General features: G+C 36.3%; 1 protein-coding gene across 5 annotated transcripts in view; it reads left to right on the top strand.

Annotated features, from left to right (window-relative positions):
• FCHSD2 (FCH and double SH3 domains 2) overlaps positions 1-19478 on the top strand; it is a 305574-nt gene that overhangs the window by 85935 nt on the left and 200161 nt on the right. The window contains exon 1 of one of the 5 annotated variants that reach the window (XM_047427949.1): positions 1-19478. This exon is cut by the window's left edge and continues 20713 nt beyond it. The exons of the other annotated variants lie outside the window; for them this stretch is intronic. The gene's annotated coding sequence lies outside the window, so the exon portion shown is untranslated. 5 annotated transcript variants of the gene reach the window in all.

The following is a 19478-nucleotide window of genomic DNA, read 5'->3' as shown; positions in this document are numbered from 1 at the left end:
AATACCGGTATTCCCTAGCAGTAAAAAATAACTCCTGTACATCAATTAGCAATTTGTTTGCATCAAAGAGATTTTAAAGATGGAGACCATCTCTTTACTTTAGGCACAGTTGCACAGGACCCCTACCTTGGCTCGTAAGCCCAGAAACTCAATTTCAGTTTACCCAGAAGACATGTCCTGATAAAACTAACAAGACGCTTAACCTATTAATGTATAATGGACATCTGCTGGTCCAGATAAGTAAGACACTTAGGGAAGCAAGGTTGTAGGTCAAAGATAGTAAGCATTTAATTTGAACTGAGAGAATGAGTTTAGTTTTTTTTATGGGGTGGGGCTTGTGATCAGATTTTTTTTATTGTGGTAAAATATACATAACATAAAATTTATCATTTTAACTATTTTTAAGGGTAAAATTCATTGGCATTCACAGTGTTGTGCAACTATCACCACTATTTCCAGAACATTTTCATCAACCCAAATAGATATTCTGTAATCATTAAGCAGTAATTCCCCTTTGTCTCCTCCCACAGCCCCTGAATCTACTTTCTGTTTCTATAAATTTGCCTAGTCTAGATACTTCATATAAATGGAATCACGATGTTTGTCCTTTTGGACTTCAGTATTCTTAAAGGATATTTCTGCTTTTCTACTCTACAGATTGTCTGTTTAAATAATGGTTTTCAAATATCTTTTGATGGTATGTTTTATCTATTAAAAAATTTAAGTGATATATATATTTGTAACATACATGTACTCTGTACTAATATATTGTATACATTATAAAATATGCATAAAATCTTAATGAAATAAATATTATTTTGAAATATCAGTATCTTTTGATGACTTTCTGCTATCATTAGCTTGTATCTCAAGGTTTAAAACTTTGTCTTATTTCTTATCAGATTTTATTGGATGGTCATTGTATACTTCTCCTGATAAAGAGCTCTGTATGGGTAGAAAGTGGCAGCTCTGCCATTTGTTTGTATTTGAATTATTAGTATTTACTTCAGTGTTTCTTTATCAGAATTTTTTTTTTTTTTCGAGACAGGGTCTCACTCTGTTGCCCAGGCTGGAGTCCAGTGGGGTGATCATGGCTAATACGGTTTGGCTGTGTCCCCACCCAAATCTCATCTTGAATTGTAGCTCCCATAATCCCCACACATGTTGTAGGAGGCACCCTGTGGGAGGTAATTGAATCATGGGGGTGGTTTTCCCCCTGTTGTTCTCATGATAGTGAGTTCTTTCGAGATCTGATGGTTTTTATAAGTGCCTGGCATTTTCCCTCCTGGCACTCATTCTCTTGCCTACCGCCAGGTAGGATGAGCCTTTGTTCCTCCTTTTGCCTTCCCCCATGATTTTGAGGCCTCCCCAGCCACGTGGAACCACAGTCCATTAAACCTCTTTTTATAAACTACCCAGTCTCAAGTATGTCTTTATTTAGCAGCGTGAGAATGGACTAATACAACAGCCCACTGGAGCTTCAACCTCTTGGTCTCAAGCAGTCCTCCCACCTCTGCCTCCCCAGTAGCTGAGATTACAGGCACATGCCACCAGGCCCACATGTCTGTAGTCCTAGCTACTCTAGAGGCCGAGGTGGGGGGGATCACTTAAGACCAGGAGGTCAAGGCTGCAGTGAGCCATGATTGTGCCACTGCACTTCAGCCTGGGTGACAAAGCCAAGACTCTGTCTGAAAAAAAAAATTATAACAGGAAAAGGTCCTTTCTCTCTTTCCTCCACCCCCTCTGTTTGTTTCCCCCACCTCCATCCCTCCCTCCCCTCCTGTAGTTGGAATACTTGTTATGTGTCTGGGATTCTTTAGGGTCTTCCAGATTTAGTGCTTCTTCCCCTATCTGGATCAGACTATACTTCGATTCTTTTTAAATCCAAAATAGACAGGAATTTTAGGATACCAAGAGACAGAGACTACATTGAAGGGTTTACATGCCCATCATTCCCTATCACAGGAAATACCTAAATGGTATTTAAATTTCTTTTTTTTTTCTAGCCCCCTGTCTGCGTGTTGGAATGTTTAATCGTTTTAAGGGTCTGGGCAGTCCTGTCTTTGCTTACTGAATGATTGGGAAGGAAAATAGAGAAGTAATTCCAGTGGGTTATGTTCAACCATCCAGAGCAGAGATTGGCAAACTTTTTTTTTTTTTTCTGCAAAGGACCAGATAGTAAATATTTTATGCTTTGAGGGCCATATGGTCTCTGTCAAATTTCCCAACATTGCTGTTGTAGAGTGTAAGCAGCCATAGACAATTGGCAAACAAATGGATGTGACTGTCTTCCAGTCAAACTTTATTTAGTGAAACAGACAGCAGGCTAGAATTTGCCAACCTGTGCACTCAAACTATCTGTTGTGAGGACTCTTCCCCCCTTTTCCCTTAAAATTTGTAGATGGACATTTTTGTAAAATACAATAAAAGTGAATTATTGGATGAGTAAAAAATACATGGTTAAAATTTTTAGATTACAGACAACAAGTTACATTTCAATCTATAATTTAAATGGTCATACATAGGGAAAAAGAAAACAATTAGAAGAACCATAAATGTTGTTACTTGAAGATATCTTCTATTAATATAGAGAATCGCTGCTATAGTCATAACTTTTTTGTCATTCTGTAATACTAACTAAACACAAAGCCAAGCAAAATTGCAGCTCTCCATTTATTAAATGCCCATACTGTAAACAAACATTGTATATATGGATATTTAACAATTTTAATATGACATAGATTTGCTTTTTGCTATTAGTTTATCTAATCTAGGTTGGATTGACGACAGTACTACTCACAAGAGATAACGTATTTGTATACTACTCCTATATTTTGTTTTAACAACACTCAGTTTAGAGAAACCAGATTTAAAAATATGTTGCTGTGAACTGAAGACATTTAGATTTAAAAGAAATTTTAGCAAGCTCAGGATATTCATGTCTAACTTTTTTCCAAGGTGAAGCAAGTGATTTTTTTCAGAATTCATTTTCTATCTTTCATTAGTAGTCAATTCCAATAATTTATCCTGTGGAATTACAGTTAAATTTAAATTATCTCTCAATGAATAGGTTGTAGATCCACACATTTCTTTTGTATGAATCTTCTTTTGGTGGAAAAAATTTGAAAATGTTTTTATCAAATTTGTAAGGTTAGTGATAATTTTTCAACAAATATACCATACCTGATTATACCTACTTCATTGAAAATTATGGACCAAAAAAAAAAAAAAAAAAAAAGGCTGGGTGCAGTGGCTCACTCCTGTAATCCCAGCACTTTGGGAGGCTGAGGTGGGCAGATCACTTGAGGCCAGGAGTTTGAGACTAGTCTGGCCAACATGGTGAAACCCCATCTTACTAAAAATACAAAAATTAGCTAGGTGTGGTGGCGGGCATCTGTAATCCCAGCTACTTGGGAGGCTGAGGCAGGAGAATCACCTGAACCTAGGAGGCGGTGGTTGCAGTGAGCTGACACCACACCACTGCTCTCCAGTCTGGGCAACAGAGTGAGACTCCATCTCAAAAAGAAAAAAAGAGAAAATTATGGAATATGTCCTAAATATCTGTAGAAACTGATCTTTTCATGCTATTAGCATCTTTTTTTGCCCTTTGATCTTATTGGTCATTGAGAAATACTTGTATCCCTTTCTTACAAGTATGAAGATTATTAAAAATACCGAATATATAAGATGAATAAATCCAATTGTCCAATTCACACCTTTAAAACATTAGGACCAAACTTTTTTATCTTGCAGAAACACTAAGAATTTGTTTCATTGTTTATTTTCGACAGTGTTTCTCCTTGACAACCATGGAACTTCAGTATGTAGTAACAGTAGTGTACAATTAGTTTTCATATCCTCTCTCAGTGAAGAGAGTACTCTCTAATACACTGCATTAGCCTTTAAGTAATTCACAATTACACTATTAATTGTCACTAAACGTACTGTTTAGACAGGTGTCTTTTTTTAAAAAAAAAATTATACCAAGAGTTTCTCAATGATGGAAACAATGCATTGATTTACACTCTGGAGTAAACGGCTTAATCTGGATAACTGCTCCAGAATACTTTCTTGTCATTACAATTGCACCATCAGAATATACCGTTACACAAAATTTAAACTCAAATCATGTTTATTGACTTATAATTTTTCATAGATTTGTACAGTTTAGAAATCGTTATGTTTGGCAGTGAAGCAGAAAAATAATTCTTCCTTCACAGCACCATCATGTTCAGATCACATATATACCAAAGGAAATGCCATACTATCTTTGCATTTATTAAGTTTCAATTAAAAACATGTCACTAAATTTCTTTGTTCTGTGAATTGGTCTTCCATGTCATTAACCAGTTCCTGAATTCATCAGACTATGGTGTCATTGGAAATTGGTTCTTTATTGCAGATTCACTGAATATTTCCAAGCAAACATCTTTGGTGGAATTTTTCCCTGATGTCAGTGTGTGTGGGGTGTGTGTGTGTGTGTGTGTGTGTGTGTGTGTGTGTGTGTGTGTGTGTTTATATACCGTGTTAGCATCCTGAAGGTCTATTATATAAAAAGCCTGAAAACACTAATACTTATTTGAAATAGCAGACATTTGCTTCTGTTGGCTTTGCAATTCACTACTATTTATTTCAAATTTTTTTTGTTGTTTTGAATGTCTATATGGTTTTTGCATAAATACTACTTAGGTTTTGAGGGTTTTATTGTTGCATAGCCAGTACATCTCTGCAGATAACCCATAGTGGTTTTAAACTTTGCTGTCAGTCATACTTTTGTGTAAAATAGTATAAAGTCGTTGGTCTTTATTTCTTTGAAATTACTTTCATTGTTGTTTGGTTTACTACCTCTGCCTCATTCAGAGACATTTTATCTTTTTTTGCCAAGGAAAGCCCATTAAACTTTTTCTGTTTGTAAATTAGGTGTAAAAATACCTATTTACTTCCTTAATTTAGCTAAAAATATTAAATTATAAATTATAGGCTGATTAAAATTTAAATGACACAATGACAGATTATGAAAATATGCTTACATTTTCTCAGATTTAAATTTTTTATTTTTTTATTTTTTAGAGCTAGAGTCTTACTCTGTCACCCAATCTGAAGTGCAATAATGCAATCTTGGCTCACCGTAGCCTCAATCCCCTGGGTTCAACTGATTTTCCCTCCTCAGCATGCAACACCACTGGCAGCACCATGTGTGACACCACGTCCTGCTAATTTTTAAAGTTTGGTAGAGACAGGGTCTCACTTTGTTAGCCCAGACTAGTCTTGAACTCTTGGATTCAAGCGATCCTCCCACCTTGGCCTCCCAAAATGTTGGGATTACAGGCATGAGCCACTGTGCCCAGCAAGATTTTTAAAATATTTCCATTATAGATAACAAACTAACTGATGTCAAATTGCTTAAAACTTTCTAAATGCTTACTCTCAATTTCTGTACTTGCCTGTTATGTATCAGTAACAAACAGTTGGAGGACCTTTGTTCTAATCTAGAGACTAATAGAAGGCCATTGTAGCAAGAAGGGGTGTTCTGAGTCTTATATTATTTTTCTTAGAGTAGATATTCTCGGCCTTTGGTAAAACTTAATTATAGTTTTCATTTGCTGTATTTGAGATTCAGTGAGACGGTTTTTTCCTCATGTTAGTGAATGGAGACATAACGTTCAACCAATATAAAGGGACTTTAAGCAGGCAATTTGCAGATGTTCCCATTATCTCCCCATGTGGATATGGAAAGGCTTGTTTAAGGACAGCAGTCTTAGTTTATGTCTTATTTGTTCACCTGTTACTGAAAAACCATTGTGGGGGCCTGGGTTCCTATGTCTATTTTCTGATTACTCCAATGTTGTCCCACGAAAGGAACTATTTAAGAGCCTTATATATTCAGCAGCTATAGCTCAAATCCATTGTGATAAAGGTGACCCGTCCCATATATGTTTATAGTAATATTCTTTCTATATGGTTTATAAATGTACATATATGTCTGCATATGATATGTCTCTATATCAATCTAAATACGTCTTTTTCACTTATTTCTACATATTGTTGAATTGCTTAATGACTTTTTATGGAAACTTGGAGCTAGAAGTGGTGTGAAGGTCATATGGTCCAGCCCTCTTTTTAATATAGAGGCTGGCAAACTAGGGCTGTCTGGTCTGACACCTGTTTTTGTAAGTAAAGTTTTGTTAGACCACGGACATACCTATTTGTTTACATATTGTCTATGGCTGCTTTCTCACTACAATAGTATATTAGGGTAGTTGCCCTGGAGATCTTATGGCCTGCAGAGCCAAAAATATTTACTCTCTGGCCTTTTACAGAAAAGTTTACTGACTTCTTATATAGAGAGGCCTGGCAACTTCTACCTGAATTCATTCAGTGACAGTATTTCACTCTCTCTCAAAGCATTCAGCTTATAGTTAGTTTCTATTTATCTTGAGCAAAACTTTTTTAAGAAACCTTCCTTGTACACATGATAGACTTTTAGGAATTTGAAAACAATTTTTTTTTTATGGTCCTTTTGTGCTTTTAATAACCATAATATTGATTTCACAAAATTTTATCCTCTCCTTAAAAAGTTGGTAAGAACGTACCCTCTAAAAATGGTAGCCCTTTAAAATATGCCTTACATAGTATAAAAGAATTATCCAACTCTTCAGGTGTCTCTCTTTCCCCCTTTTTCTTTTTTTTTTTTTTTTTATTATACTCTAAGTTTTAGGGTACATGTGCACATTGTGCAGGTTAGTTACATATGTATACATGTGCCATGCTGGTGCGCTGCACCCACTAACGTGTCATCTAGCATTAGGTATATCTCCCAATGCTATCCCTCCCCCCTCCCCCGACCCCACCACAGTCCCCAGAGTGTGATAAAAACAATTTTTATACTTCTTATCTCTTTCTAGTAGTCTACATCCCATTCCCAGTCTTTCCAATCATAAAAATTTGTAGTTTATTTAGTTCACACTTGAACGTCCTATGAAACTGTTTTAAACCTTTTACCTATCTTGTTTCTTGTCATTATTCTTAAGCCATTGATACAGAAATCAGAACCAAATTTAATATTGTTGTGGGTATGAGACAGTTTCTGTCATGTTTTAATTTTTTCCTTAAAGTTTTACTATGTACTTCATATATACTGGGCACTCAACTGTGTTATTATTACTTTAAATATGTGCTAAGTGGCATTATTTTTTAAACAGTGATATCACATTAAAGGTTCTTAATGAGCTCAAACTCAAAAACCACTACGTCTTTTTACATATCTTGCTATTAAATCAGATCTTCACCATCCTACGCTGAACCCATGGCAGGACTTTTTACTCCTTTGAGATTCTATTGTATTAGGTTTATTCCACTGTGTCAGTATGTTGAGAAGTTTTAGCATCTTGATTCTGTTATTTAAATATTTACTGTTCTTCATAGCTCTTTGTCATGTGAGAATTTGATAGCAATGAGTTACTCGATCAACATCTTGCTATGTTTGTGTGGTCGTTATTGAATCCAAGTGAAATTGTTCTGGGAATTTTTCTTAGAGTTTATGGTAGATTGAATTATTGCTCAGCAAATATTCATTCCCCACCCTTTCTCTTGAGGTGAACTATACATACATCCCTGTCTTACTGATTTTAGACTTGGTCATACGGCTTGCTTGGACTAGTAGAATGGAGATGGAATTGACTGTAAAGCCATTTCTAAAATGAGGCTTTAAGAGGCATGGCAAGTTATTTCCAGCTTTTTCGTACTTCCGGCACTTACTGTAAGAAGAACTTGCCCCAGGTAACTACTTCAGATGGGGTCCCAGAATGAAAGATATGTGAAGGATACCTGAACTTGACCCTGCAACCTGAAGCAGAGATGCTCTAGCCAACCTGCAGATTCATGAGCAGAAGTTAGCATTTATTGTTTTAATCCATTTCCACTTTTTGAGTTGTTACAGAGTATTGATTCAGCAATAGCTGGTCCATACACAGCTAACCAAGCCATTCTGTTTTGCAGGAATTATCTCTGAAATGCCTAGTACCTGTAAATAACAAGCCAGTACTAGACTATCATGAACCTTGGCTTAAGGGAGATCAGAGGTAACTTTTGGGTCCCATATGTGTGTCGGTACATGGCATGAGCTGAGGGATGCCGCTGAAGAAAGGAACTACAGTTGGCTAAACAGGATATACAGAAATATCCTGCTGCTCTAGCTATGCCTCAAATGCTTTGGGTCAGATTTTTACTTTTTGCAGTTTGATATGCTAACATTGTCAAGTTTTTCTATTACTTTCTGTTCTGTTTTCTTGTTCCTCCTGTATTTTTTTTTTAACTTCCTGCCTTTTTAGAAATAACTCATGTTTTCACAGTATGTACTACTTAAAGAAACAATATAGAATAAGACCATTAGAGTTCTAATTATGGCTCCACCATTTGTTAACATAATCACTCTACATAAATTACTTAAGCCATTTCCCCCTCTGCATATTGGGATTAATAAATAACTCACAGTTGTTGCTAAGCTTAAATGAGATAACAAAGTCATTAGCTCACCATCATTTGTATATACAGTCATTAGCAAATATTTACTGAGTAAATTCTGAGGGATACAGTGCTTTGCACATTATAAAAAAGTCAATACATTTTATAGCATTTTGATAGTCCTAGACCTAGAAAGTACTTGTTGGGGTCACATTGATGCCAAATGAAAGGAAAAGAGAAGGGGGTTCTAATCCCATTTCTGAAAGAAAGAGCATAAATATTTGCCGTTAGAAATCATGGAACAGTTTTTAGATGTGTTTTATGTTATTTGATAGGTTAATACTTTATTTCAGGATTTCTTTTTGCATTATCCTTGGCAGTGGCTAGGTACTGTCAATGACCAGTATTTTTTGTTCTATCTGGGGATGTGAATCCAAAACAAAGGATAGAATTGCTTGTGCTCTGTTTTTCTCTCAGTTAATTTTTTCAAAATATAATCCCAAGTACAAATCATGCTTTTGAGTATTATAGGGGATCATATTTTTTTCTTATAACCTTGAATAAGATGCAGTAAAAACAGTGAAGCTGACCACTTTTCTTCCCTATCATTTAGGTATGTAGCTTCTACCAGATATTTTGACATCCTGTTTCATAAGAATCTTTTTCTTTAATTAAAAAAAAAATGGTAGTTTTAACAATTCAAATAATATGGGTGGTACATGAAATATTTGCCTTTTTTTTTCAAATTTACAGTCATGTTTGGTATAAATCTTTTCCTTTTATGTGTACTCATTTAATATGTAGTTTTTCCTTTATAAAAAAGTAGAATTATATTCACATTTATTCTGCATCTTGTCTTTTATATTTAATAGTATTTTTTATCATTGATAAAAATATCATTGATATTTTCCCAAAGTGAATACAGAAAGACCTCATTTTATTGACAGCATCATAGTTCGTATTGTGGATATAAATTATTTAACATCCACATATTTTGATCTACATCCTATTGATTTAAGTTGTTTAAAGCAATACTGTGACTGGGCATGGTAGCTTACGATTGTAATCTCAAGATTTTGGGAGGCAGAGGTAGGAGGATCGTTTTTGGCCAGGAGTTCAAGACCAGCCTGGGCAACATGGTGAAATCCCTGTCTTAATCAATCAATCAATAAACAAACAAATACACATACTACAATAAATGTACTTATTTATCTTGTTATACTTGTGCTTTTATTTTAGCAGTTCTGAAAATGGCTTCCTTGTAAGCGAAGTCTATCTATATTTAAAATTTTAATAGATATTAGTAGGTAAAAACATTTTTAAAAACTTGATTACTAATAAAAATTTAAAATGCTACACCAATTTATATTTCTACCAATAATTTATAGTAATGTGGTGCATCCTATCTTACCAGGAGTGGATGCTGCCAGTCATTAAATTTTTGCCATCCTGGGCCAAAAATGATATCTAATTTTGTTTCCTTTCTATGAAAATTGGTATTCAGACATATTCCAATGTTTGTAGCTATTTACAATGCATTCTTGCTGTATTGGCCATTCATATCTTTTTTATTATTAATTGTTTTCTTTTTAAAATCAGTTCATAAGGCTTTTCAAAAATTCTTACAGAGGCTGGGGATGGTGGCTTGCACCTGTAATCCCAGTGCTTTGGGAGGCCAAGGTGGGAGAATTGCTTGAGCACAGGAATTCGATTGTAGCCTGGGCAAGATGGCAAGACCCCTGTCTTTACAAAACATTAAAAAATCAGCATGGCATCATGGTGTGTGTCTTTAGTCCCAGCTACTTCAGAGGCTGAGGCCACAGTATCCCTTGAGTCCAGTAATTCGAAGTGGCAGTGAGCTATGATCCTGCCACTGCACTTCAGCCTAGGTGACAAAATGAGACCCTGTCTCTAAAAAAAAAAAAAAAAAAATTACTGAAATTATTGTAGAAATATAAGCAAGAGATGTTTTTTGCTTTCCTTCCATTTTTTTTTCTTTTATTATTATACTTTAAGTTTTAGGGTACATGTGCACATTGTGCAGGTTAGTTACATATGTATACATGTGCCATGCTGGTGGCTGCACCCACTAACTCATCATCTAGCATTAGGTATATCTCCCAATGCTATCCCTCCCCGCTCCCCCCACCCCACAACAGTCCCCAGAGTGTGATGTTCCCCTTCCTGTGTCCATGTGATCTCATTGTTCAGTTCCCACCTATGAGTGAGAATATGCGGTGTTTGGTTTTTTGTTCTTGCGATAGTTTACTGAGAATGATGATTTCCAATTTCATCCATGTCCCTACAAAGGACATGAACTCATCATTTTTTATGGCTGCATAGTATTCCATGGTGTATATGTGCCACATTTTCTTAATCCATTCTATCATTGTTGGACATCTGGGTTGGTTCCAAGTCTCTGCTATGGTGAATAGTGCCACAATAAACATACGTGTGCATGTGTCTTTATAGCAGCATGATTTATAGTCCTTTGGGTATATACCCAGTAATGGGATGGCTGGGTCAAATGGTATTTCTAGTTCTAGATCCCTGAGGAATCGCCACACTGACTTCCACAATGGTTGAACTAGTTTACAGTCCCACCAACAGTGTAAAAGTGTTCCTATTTCTCCACATCCTCTCCAGCACCTGTTGTTTCCTGACTTTTTAATGATCGCCATTCTAACTGGTGTGAGATGGTATCTCATTGTGGTTTTAATTTGCATTTCTCTGATGGCCAGTGATGATGAGCATTTTTTCATGTGTTTTTTGGCTGCATAAATGTCTTCTTTTGAGAAGTGTCTGTTCATGACCTTTGCCCACTTTTACCCCATTCTTTTTTTTTTTTTTTGAGATGGAGTCTTGCTCTGTCGCCCAGGCTGGAGTGCAGTGGAGCGATCTCGGCTCACTGCAACCTCCGCCTCCCAGGTTCAAGTGATTCTCTTGCCTCAGCCTGCTGAGTAACCAGGATTACAGGCACGTGTCACCACACCCGGCTAATTTTTTGTATTTTTAGTAGAGATGGGGTTTCACTGTGTTAGTCAGGATGGTCTCGATCTCCTGACCTCGTGATCCACCTGCCTCGGCCTCCCAAAGTACTGGGATTACAGGCGTGAGCCACTGTGCCCAGCCCCATCCTTAGTGTTAGATGATTTTTATATAACATGCTAGAATGTTAAATTATTGCATGTACTATGTGCACTGTTTTCTATATAGTATTTACCCAGCATTTGCCTAATTTTAATGTTGTATCTAGCACATGTATGCTTAATCTCTTAAGGACAGAGTTTGAATTCTATTATTGTAGATTAATAGAATTAAGATTTATGAGTGACTTTTTTAAGGGACTGGGGTCTCACTCTGTCACCCAGGCTGGAGTGCAATGGCATGATCATAGCTCGCTGCAGCCTCAAACTCCTGGGCACAAGTGATCTCACTTCAGCCTCCTGAGTAGCTAGGACTATAGGTGTGTGCCACCATGCCCATCTAATTTTTAAATTTTGTGTAGAGATAGAGGGCCTCACTGTGTTGCCCAGGCTGGTCTCAAACTCCTGGGCTCAAGCGATACTCCTACCTTGGCTTCCCAAAGCATTGGGATTACAGATATAAGACACCACACTCAGCCTCTGACTTTGGAAATATTCATAAGTTTTTTTTTAATTGAGGAATTCAGCGTTAATAAGTGAGGCAATAATCATAGAATTTTACAGTTCAGTTTAAGAGTAAAATGTATCTATTAAAATGGTCTCTTTGTTTGATTTATACAAAGGTGACATATAGTAGCAGGCCTTGGATGTATCAGTGGTAACAAATTTGGAATCCGTTGTAAATATAGGATCTCACTGGTAAATATACTGTGTTCATTTGGATAGGCTAATTGTTTAACCAACAACTCCCAAATCACTGAGGCTTATAAAAAGAAATTTATTTCTCACTCACCTAATAGTTTGTTGCCAAAATTGGTGAATGGCCTTCCAAGGGATGATGATTCAATGATCCAGGCTCCTTTAATCTTGAGGTTCCTAGATCCTTTAGTCCAGGCTCCTTTGATCTTGAGATTTCTAGATCCTTTAGGGCCTCAAGTCCTCAATGGATCCTCTACATCTAGCTAGCAGAGAGGAAGGAAAAAAAAGATGGTACGTGGAGGTTATGGTGGATCAGAACTGAATGTAACACATATCATATCTCTTAATATTTCCTTGGCCAAAACTCAGTCACATAGTCACATCTAATTTTAAAGGAGGCTGGAAAATTTCTTCTATGTATATGCCTTGGAAAAGAGGAGAATGGGGATACTGGTAAAGCAAGCTATCTCTGACATATATTTAATTTAAAAGTACCAAAATGGGTTTCTAAATCTGAATATATTTTATCTATACTGTGTACATTGGGTCAGTTTTTAAAGACAACAATAAAAGTTGTATGTAATTTAACTGATTAATTCCTTTAATTACACAAATAGTTGGTGGATCTGCTTACCAAAATGGAAAAGAACAATTAAGCAAATAGAAAATTTAAATTATACATTACTTGACAGGTTGCCCAGAAAAGTGGATAGGATGATAAATACTTGCTTATGGAAACTGATAATATTTATCTTCACTACTTGACCGAGCCTTTTAGTGATTTAATCTGTGATGAAGAGAAGTAAAAATTCCTTCATGATAAAATCTCTCAACAGACTGGGCATAGAAAGAACATACCTCAGCAAAATAAAGGCTATGTATGACAGACGCACAGCTAACATCATACTGAATAGGGAAAGGCTGAAAGCCTTTCCTTTAAGAAGTGGAGTAAGACAAGGATGCCCACTTTCACCACTCCTATTCAGCGTTGTGGCAGAAGTTCTAGCCAGAGCATCAGTCAAGAGAAAGAAATTCAAGGCATCTAAATAGGAAAAGAGAAAGTCAAATTGTCCTTCTTTGCAGATGACATGACCTCATATATAGAAAAGCCTAAAGATTCCAACAAAAAACTCTTTGAACTGAAAAATGAATTCAGTAGAATTGCAGGATACAAAATCACCATACAAAAATCAGTAGCATTTCTATATACCAATAATGAACTAGCAGAAAAAGAAATCAAGAAAGCCTCAAATTTATAATAGCTAGAAAAAAGTAAAATTCCTAGGAATAAATTTAACCAAGGAGATGAAAGACCTACAACAAAAAACCGCAAAACACTGATGAAAAAAATTAAAGAGAACACACAAAATGGAAAGGTATCTCATGCTTATGGACTGGAAGAATGAACATTGTTAACATGACCATTCTACCCAAAGCAATCAACAGATTCAATGCAGTCTCTATCAAGATACTAGTGACATTCTTCATAGAAATAGAAAAAACAATTCTAAAAATTGTATGGAACCGCAGAAGACCTCAATAGCCAAAGCAATCCTGAGCAAAAGGAACAAAGCTGGAATCGTCACAGTACCTGACTTCAAAATATTCTACAAAGCTATTGTAACCAAAACAGCATGGTATTGATATAAATACAGACACATAGAACAATGGGATGGATTAAGTAACCTAGAAATAAACTCACATATTTTACTGCCAACTGATTTTTGACAAAGGTGCCAATAACTTATATTGGGGAAAGGATACCATCTTTAATAAATGCTACTGGGAAAGCTGAATATCCATATGCGGAAGAATGACCCCTGTCTTTCACCAGAGTTTAAAAATAATCTCAGCCGGGTGCAGTGGCGCATGCCTGTAGTCCCAACACTGGGAGGCTGAGGTGGGTGGATCACCTGAAGTCAGGAGTTGAAGACCAGCCTGGCCAACACAGTGAAACCCTGTCTCTACTAAAAATAAAAAAATTAGCTGGGTGTGATGGTGGGCACCTGTAATCCCAGCTACTTGGGAGGTCAAGGCAGGAGAATCACTTGAACCCAGGAAGCAGAGGTTGCAGTGAGCTGAGATCGCGCCACTGCACTCCAACCTGGGTGACGAGTGAGACTCTGTCTCAAAAACATAAATAAATAATAATAATCTCAAAGTGGATTAGACTTAAACCTAGGACCCAAAACTATAAAACTACTGACATAAAACATAGAGGAAATACTCCAGGACATTGGCCTAGGCAAAAATTTTATGGCTAAAACCTCACAAACCAAACACAAAACTGTGAACAAACCAAAACACAAAATTGAAAAATAGGACTATATTAAATTAAAAAGCTTCTGCACATCAAAGAAACAGTCAACATAGTGAAGAGACAACCTGTAGAATGGGAGAAGGTATTTGCAAGTATTCGTTTAATAAAGGACTAATATCCAGAATATATAAGAAACTCAACTCAGTAGCAAACAAACAAACAAAAAAACTCCATAAATTATCCCATTAACAAGTTGGGAAAGGATATGAATAGACATTTCTCAAAAAAAGACATATACATGGCCAGTAGGTATATGAAAAAATGCTCAGCATCACTAATCATCAGGGAAATGAAAATCAAAACCACAATGAGATATCATCTTACCTCAGTCAGAATGGTGATTATTAAAAAGAACAACAACAAAAAACTGTTGGCAAGGATGCAGATAAAAGGTAACTCTTATACATTGTTGGTAGGAATGTAAATTAGTATAGCTACTATGGAAAACAGTATGGAAGTTTCTCAAAAAACTAAAAATAGAACTACCGTATGATCCAGCAATCTCATTACTGGATATTTATCCAAAGAAAGGAAATCAGTATATCGAAGGGATATCTGCACCCCCAAGTTTGTTGCAGCACTATTCATAGTAGCCAAGTTATGGAATCAACCTACGTGTCCATCAACAGATGAATGGATAAAGAAAATATGGTTTATATACACAATGGAATACTATTTAGCCATAAAAAAGAATGAAATTCTGTCATTTATAGCAACATGGATGGAACTGGAGGTCATTATGTTAAGCGAAATAAGCCAGGCACAGAAAGACAAATATCACATGTTCTCACTCACTGATATGTGGGAGCTAAAAAAGTTGCTGTCATGGAGATTGAGAGTAGAATGATAGTTACCAAAGAGGGGGGGGAGCAGTTTGTGGGAAGGTTGAAGGGAAGATTGGTTAATGGGTACAAATATACAGTTAAATAGAAGGAATACGTTTTAGTATTTTATAGCACAGTCGGATTAGTGTAATCAACAACAATATGTCTTTCAAAATAATTAGAATACATGATTTGAAATATTTCCAACATGAAGAAATGATAAATGTTTGAGATGATAAATATCCTAAATACCTTGATTTGATCATTACATATTGAATATGTGTATCAAAATATCATGTGTGCCCCTTAAATGTGTACAATTATTATGTAACAAAAAATTGTAAAACCGAAAGTTTGTTCATTTCTTTATATATCTTATTGACAAGGGAAGGTATCACCAACAGAATGGACTTGATATTGATAAGAGGTAGATCTGCTCAACAAGACTTGGGAAGGAGGATGGAATAAACTGTATGGTGTTTGAGAAATATACACCAGACACATACAAATGTGTATCTGTGTGTATGTGTTTATACATCTCACATGTATTGTAATAGTGCCCTTAATGAAAACACTCTGCCTCTGGCAAAAAACAAAAAACAAAACACCCCTCTTTTTGTTTTTCCACATGACTGCGAAACAATTACAGCTTCTAGTAGGAGGGCTTCTCCTGTTCCTGGGAAAAGAGCTGGGTTGGTTGGCATTTGCATAATCGTCTTTGGGGCCATTGTGGGTGGGTTTGGGCTGCTGACACAGAGCTGCAGACTGGCCACCTGTCCAAAACAAATGAACTCAGCCTTTGTGTAACATTATCTGGTTATCCACAGTGTTATTTCTGAGTAATGGATAATTTGGTTAAAATAATATGAAACTATTATTTAGGAAACATTGTGTTCAACGTAAGTCCTCCATTTTGCTGGGAGAAAAATTTTCTTCTTTTTCCACTGGCACAACTATGTATTTCCATATCATCTTTGGTATAGTTTTATAACTGCTTTTGTGATATCCTCATGAATATTAATTAGGGATATGAAAATTTAAAAAGAAACTTCAAAATGATTTGCATTCGTTATTCTATAAATTATAAATTAATTGTTGTCTTTTTCTAGCAGTCTGTTTTACTTATGTGGAATAATTAAACACTTAAAGTCATCAAAAAAGAAGACACATCTAAGATCTTGATGTAAGAACAAGTCCTGCATCATTCGTTATCCTTGATAATGAATCCAGTGACTCACCTGTGAATTTAGGAAGTTTTTGTCCTAATAATGCATATATTGCTGTGTTGAGTAATTTTATTAATCAGCTACATTTAACCTATAATGAATACATACTTACACATTTTTAAAATTCACCTGTGACAAACTTACATGTGACATATTAATATTTCTTTTCTTTCTTTCTTTTTTTTTTTGGAGACGGAGTCTCTCTCTGTTGCCCAGGCTGGAATGCATTGGCATGTCTCGGCTCACTGCTACCTCCATCTCCCGGGTTCAAGCGAGTCTCTCACCTCTGCCTCTGGAGTAGCTAGGACTACAGGCACGCCCCACCATGCCCAGCTAATTTTCGTATTTTTAGTAGAGATGGGATTTCACCATTTTGTCTAGGCTGGTCTCCAACTCCTGACCTCAAGTGATCCGCCCACCTCTGCTTCCCAAAGTGCTGGGCTTACAGGTGTGAGCACTGCACCCTGCAGAAAGTTAGGTTCTGTTATGGAGGTAGGTTTATGAGGAATCCTAAAGGAATTGCTTACTCCCAGTGAGACAGTCTTGAACTAGACTCTTAGGAATAGATAGGATTTGGAATACACGGATATTCCAGTTTGAAACTGGTTGCAGATAAAAATAAACAGTGATTCTGCAATTATTATGGAGACTTAAGTAATATTAGAAAGAAGTAAGGAGATACACTTGGAAGATACTAAGTTGATACAACTTGATAGAAGATTATGAATACTAGGCTGGGGGTCATTACAGAAGTCAAGCCAAAAAAATGTACTGGAAAAAGAACACTAAAGTGGGAGGCATGTCATAATTTATATGGATATTGGCCTTATTACTTGGTGACAGATCTTTTTTTTCAACTTTTATTTTAGAATCAGGGGAATACATGTACAGGTTTGTTACAAAAATATATTGCATGATGCCGAGGTTTGGAGTATGAATGAATCTATCACCCAGGTAGTGAGCATGCCTAATTATTTTTTCAACCCTTGCCCCTGCCTCACTCCCTGCTCTTGGATTCCCTAGTGTTTATTATTCCCATGTTTATGTCCATTTGTATTCAATGTTTAGCTCCCACTTAGATATGAGAACATGTGGTATTTGGTTTTCTGTTTCTGTGTTAGTTTGCTTAGGATAATCGTTGCCAGCTACATTCATGTTGCTACAAAGGACAAGATTTCATTCTTTTCATGGCTGCATAGTATCCACGCTGTATATGTACCACAGGTGCCCATCAGTGGTGAGTGATCTTGAGTCACTGCCCATTTTTCTTGATCTGAGAGGATTCGACTGGATAAATTATAAGGTCCCTTTAAGAATCAATCAGTCATCAGAATTTCTTTTCCTTTTTTTTTTTTTTTCTTAAAGAGACAGGGTCTTACTCTGTCACCCAGGCTGGAGTGCAGTGGCACAATCATAGCTCACTGCAGCTTCAAACTCCTGGGCTCAAGCGATCTTCCCATTTCAGCCTCCTGAGTAGTTGAGACTAGAGGCATGCACTACCACGCCCAGTTAATTTTTAAATTTTTTAATAGAGACAGATCTCCTTGTTGCCTAGGCTTGGCTTGAACTCCTGGCCTCAAGCAATCTTCCCACCTCGTCATAAGAATTTTTTAGTGATAGATGGTTTTGTTTTTAATATTTCAGCTGGAAAACTATTTTAGCATCTAGCAGAAGACTTGTTTGTGGAAAAAGCTTGACTTGGTGAATCTTTTCATCAGAGTAATCCCTATGTTTCACATATTTCATATAAAAATAAAATAAGTTTCCCACTCTTTAGTGTGAAATTGGTGAGGGATTGGATATAAAAGGTTATGCTCTGGATATCCCAGAGAACTGCCTTCTTCTTTTCCTAAAGTTGTCCACTATGTTTGAGGTTCTGCTCTATGCATAACAAGTGTGATTGCTTTTGGAGGGTTACAAGGTAATGAGGACTCCTATATTCAGAATGTAAAACCCATTTGACAAAGTAAGATAGGTATGCATAAAAGTTACAAATATATACTATCAATAGGGCTATATCTGACTTATATGATTAAATGGCCACATTCATAACATAATCAGTATGGGCCCTAAGTTTTTAGGAAAACATGGTAAGTGGGATTAGAATATCTAAAGACGACAAGAATATTGTGTGGATATGGAGAAAGAATGCATTCTATACCAGAGAAAGGCTGCTATCAAAAACTCAGAGGCAAAAAATAATTTTGGGCATAATTATGAGATAGTAAAAAGATCAGTAGTTGCCAGAAGTTGAGGATGAAGGGGAAGGGACAAATAGCAGAGCACAGGGGATTTTTAGGGCAGTGAAAATAACTCCCTATGATACTGTAATGATGGATATGTCACTATATGTTTGTCCAGACACATAGACTGTACAGCACTAAGAATCCTAGTGTAAACCATGGACTTCAGATGACTGTGTTATGTGTCAGTGTAGGTTCATCCATTGTAAATGTACCACTGTGGTGGGGGATGTTGTTAATGGGGAGGCTATGCATGTGTGGGGGCAAGTGATACATGGGAACTCTCTGTACCTTTCTCTCAATTTTGCCATGAACCTAAAACTGTTCTAAAAAATATGAAGTCTGTAATTTTTAAAAAATGTGAGTATCAAGAGAAGAATATAATAGAATTCTATAAATATCTTCCAGGTGATGAATATGCTCAAAGTCATATGCTCTTGAATTGATATCAGTATTTGGCAGTCCCTATCTGTGTGAAGACATTTGCAAAGATGAAATATTTAAAATCTAATTACAGATCCGCGTTAACAGATGAACGTTTGTAATGGATTTTGATG

Source organism: Homo sapiens, chromosome 11, assembly GCF_000001405.40.
Source record: "Homo sapiens chromosome 11, GRCh38.p14 Primary Assembly".
NCBI classification, from domain to species: domain Eukaryota; kingdom Metazoa; phylum Chordata; class Mammalia; order Primates; family Hominidae; genus Homo; species Homo sapiens.
Note: the sequence above shows the minus strand (reverse complement) of the source record. Positions and strands in the feature narration are given on the sequence as shown.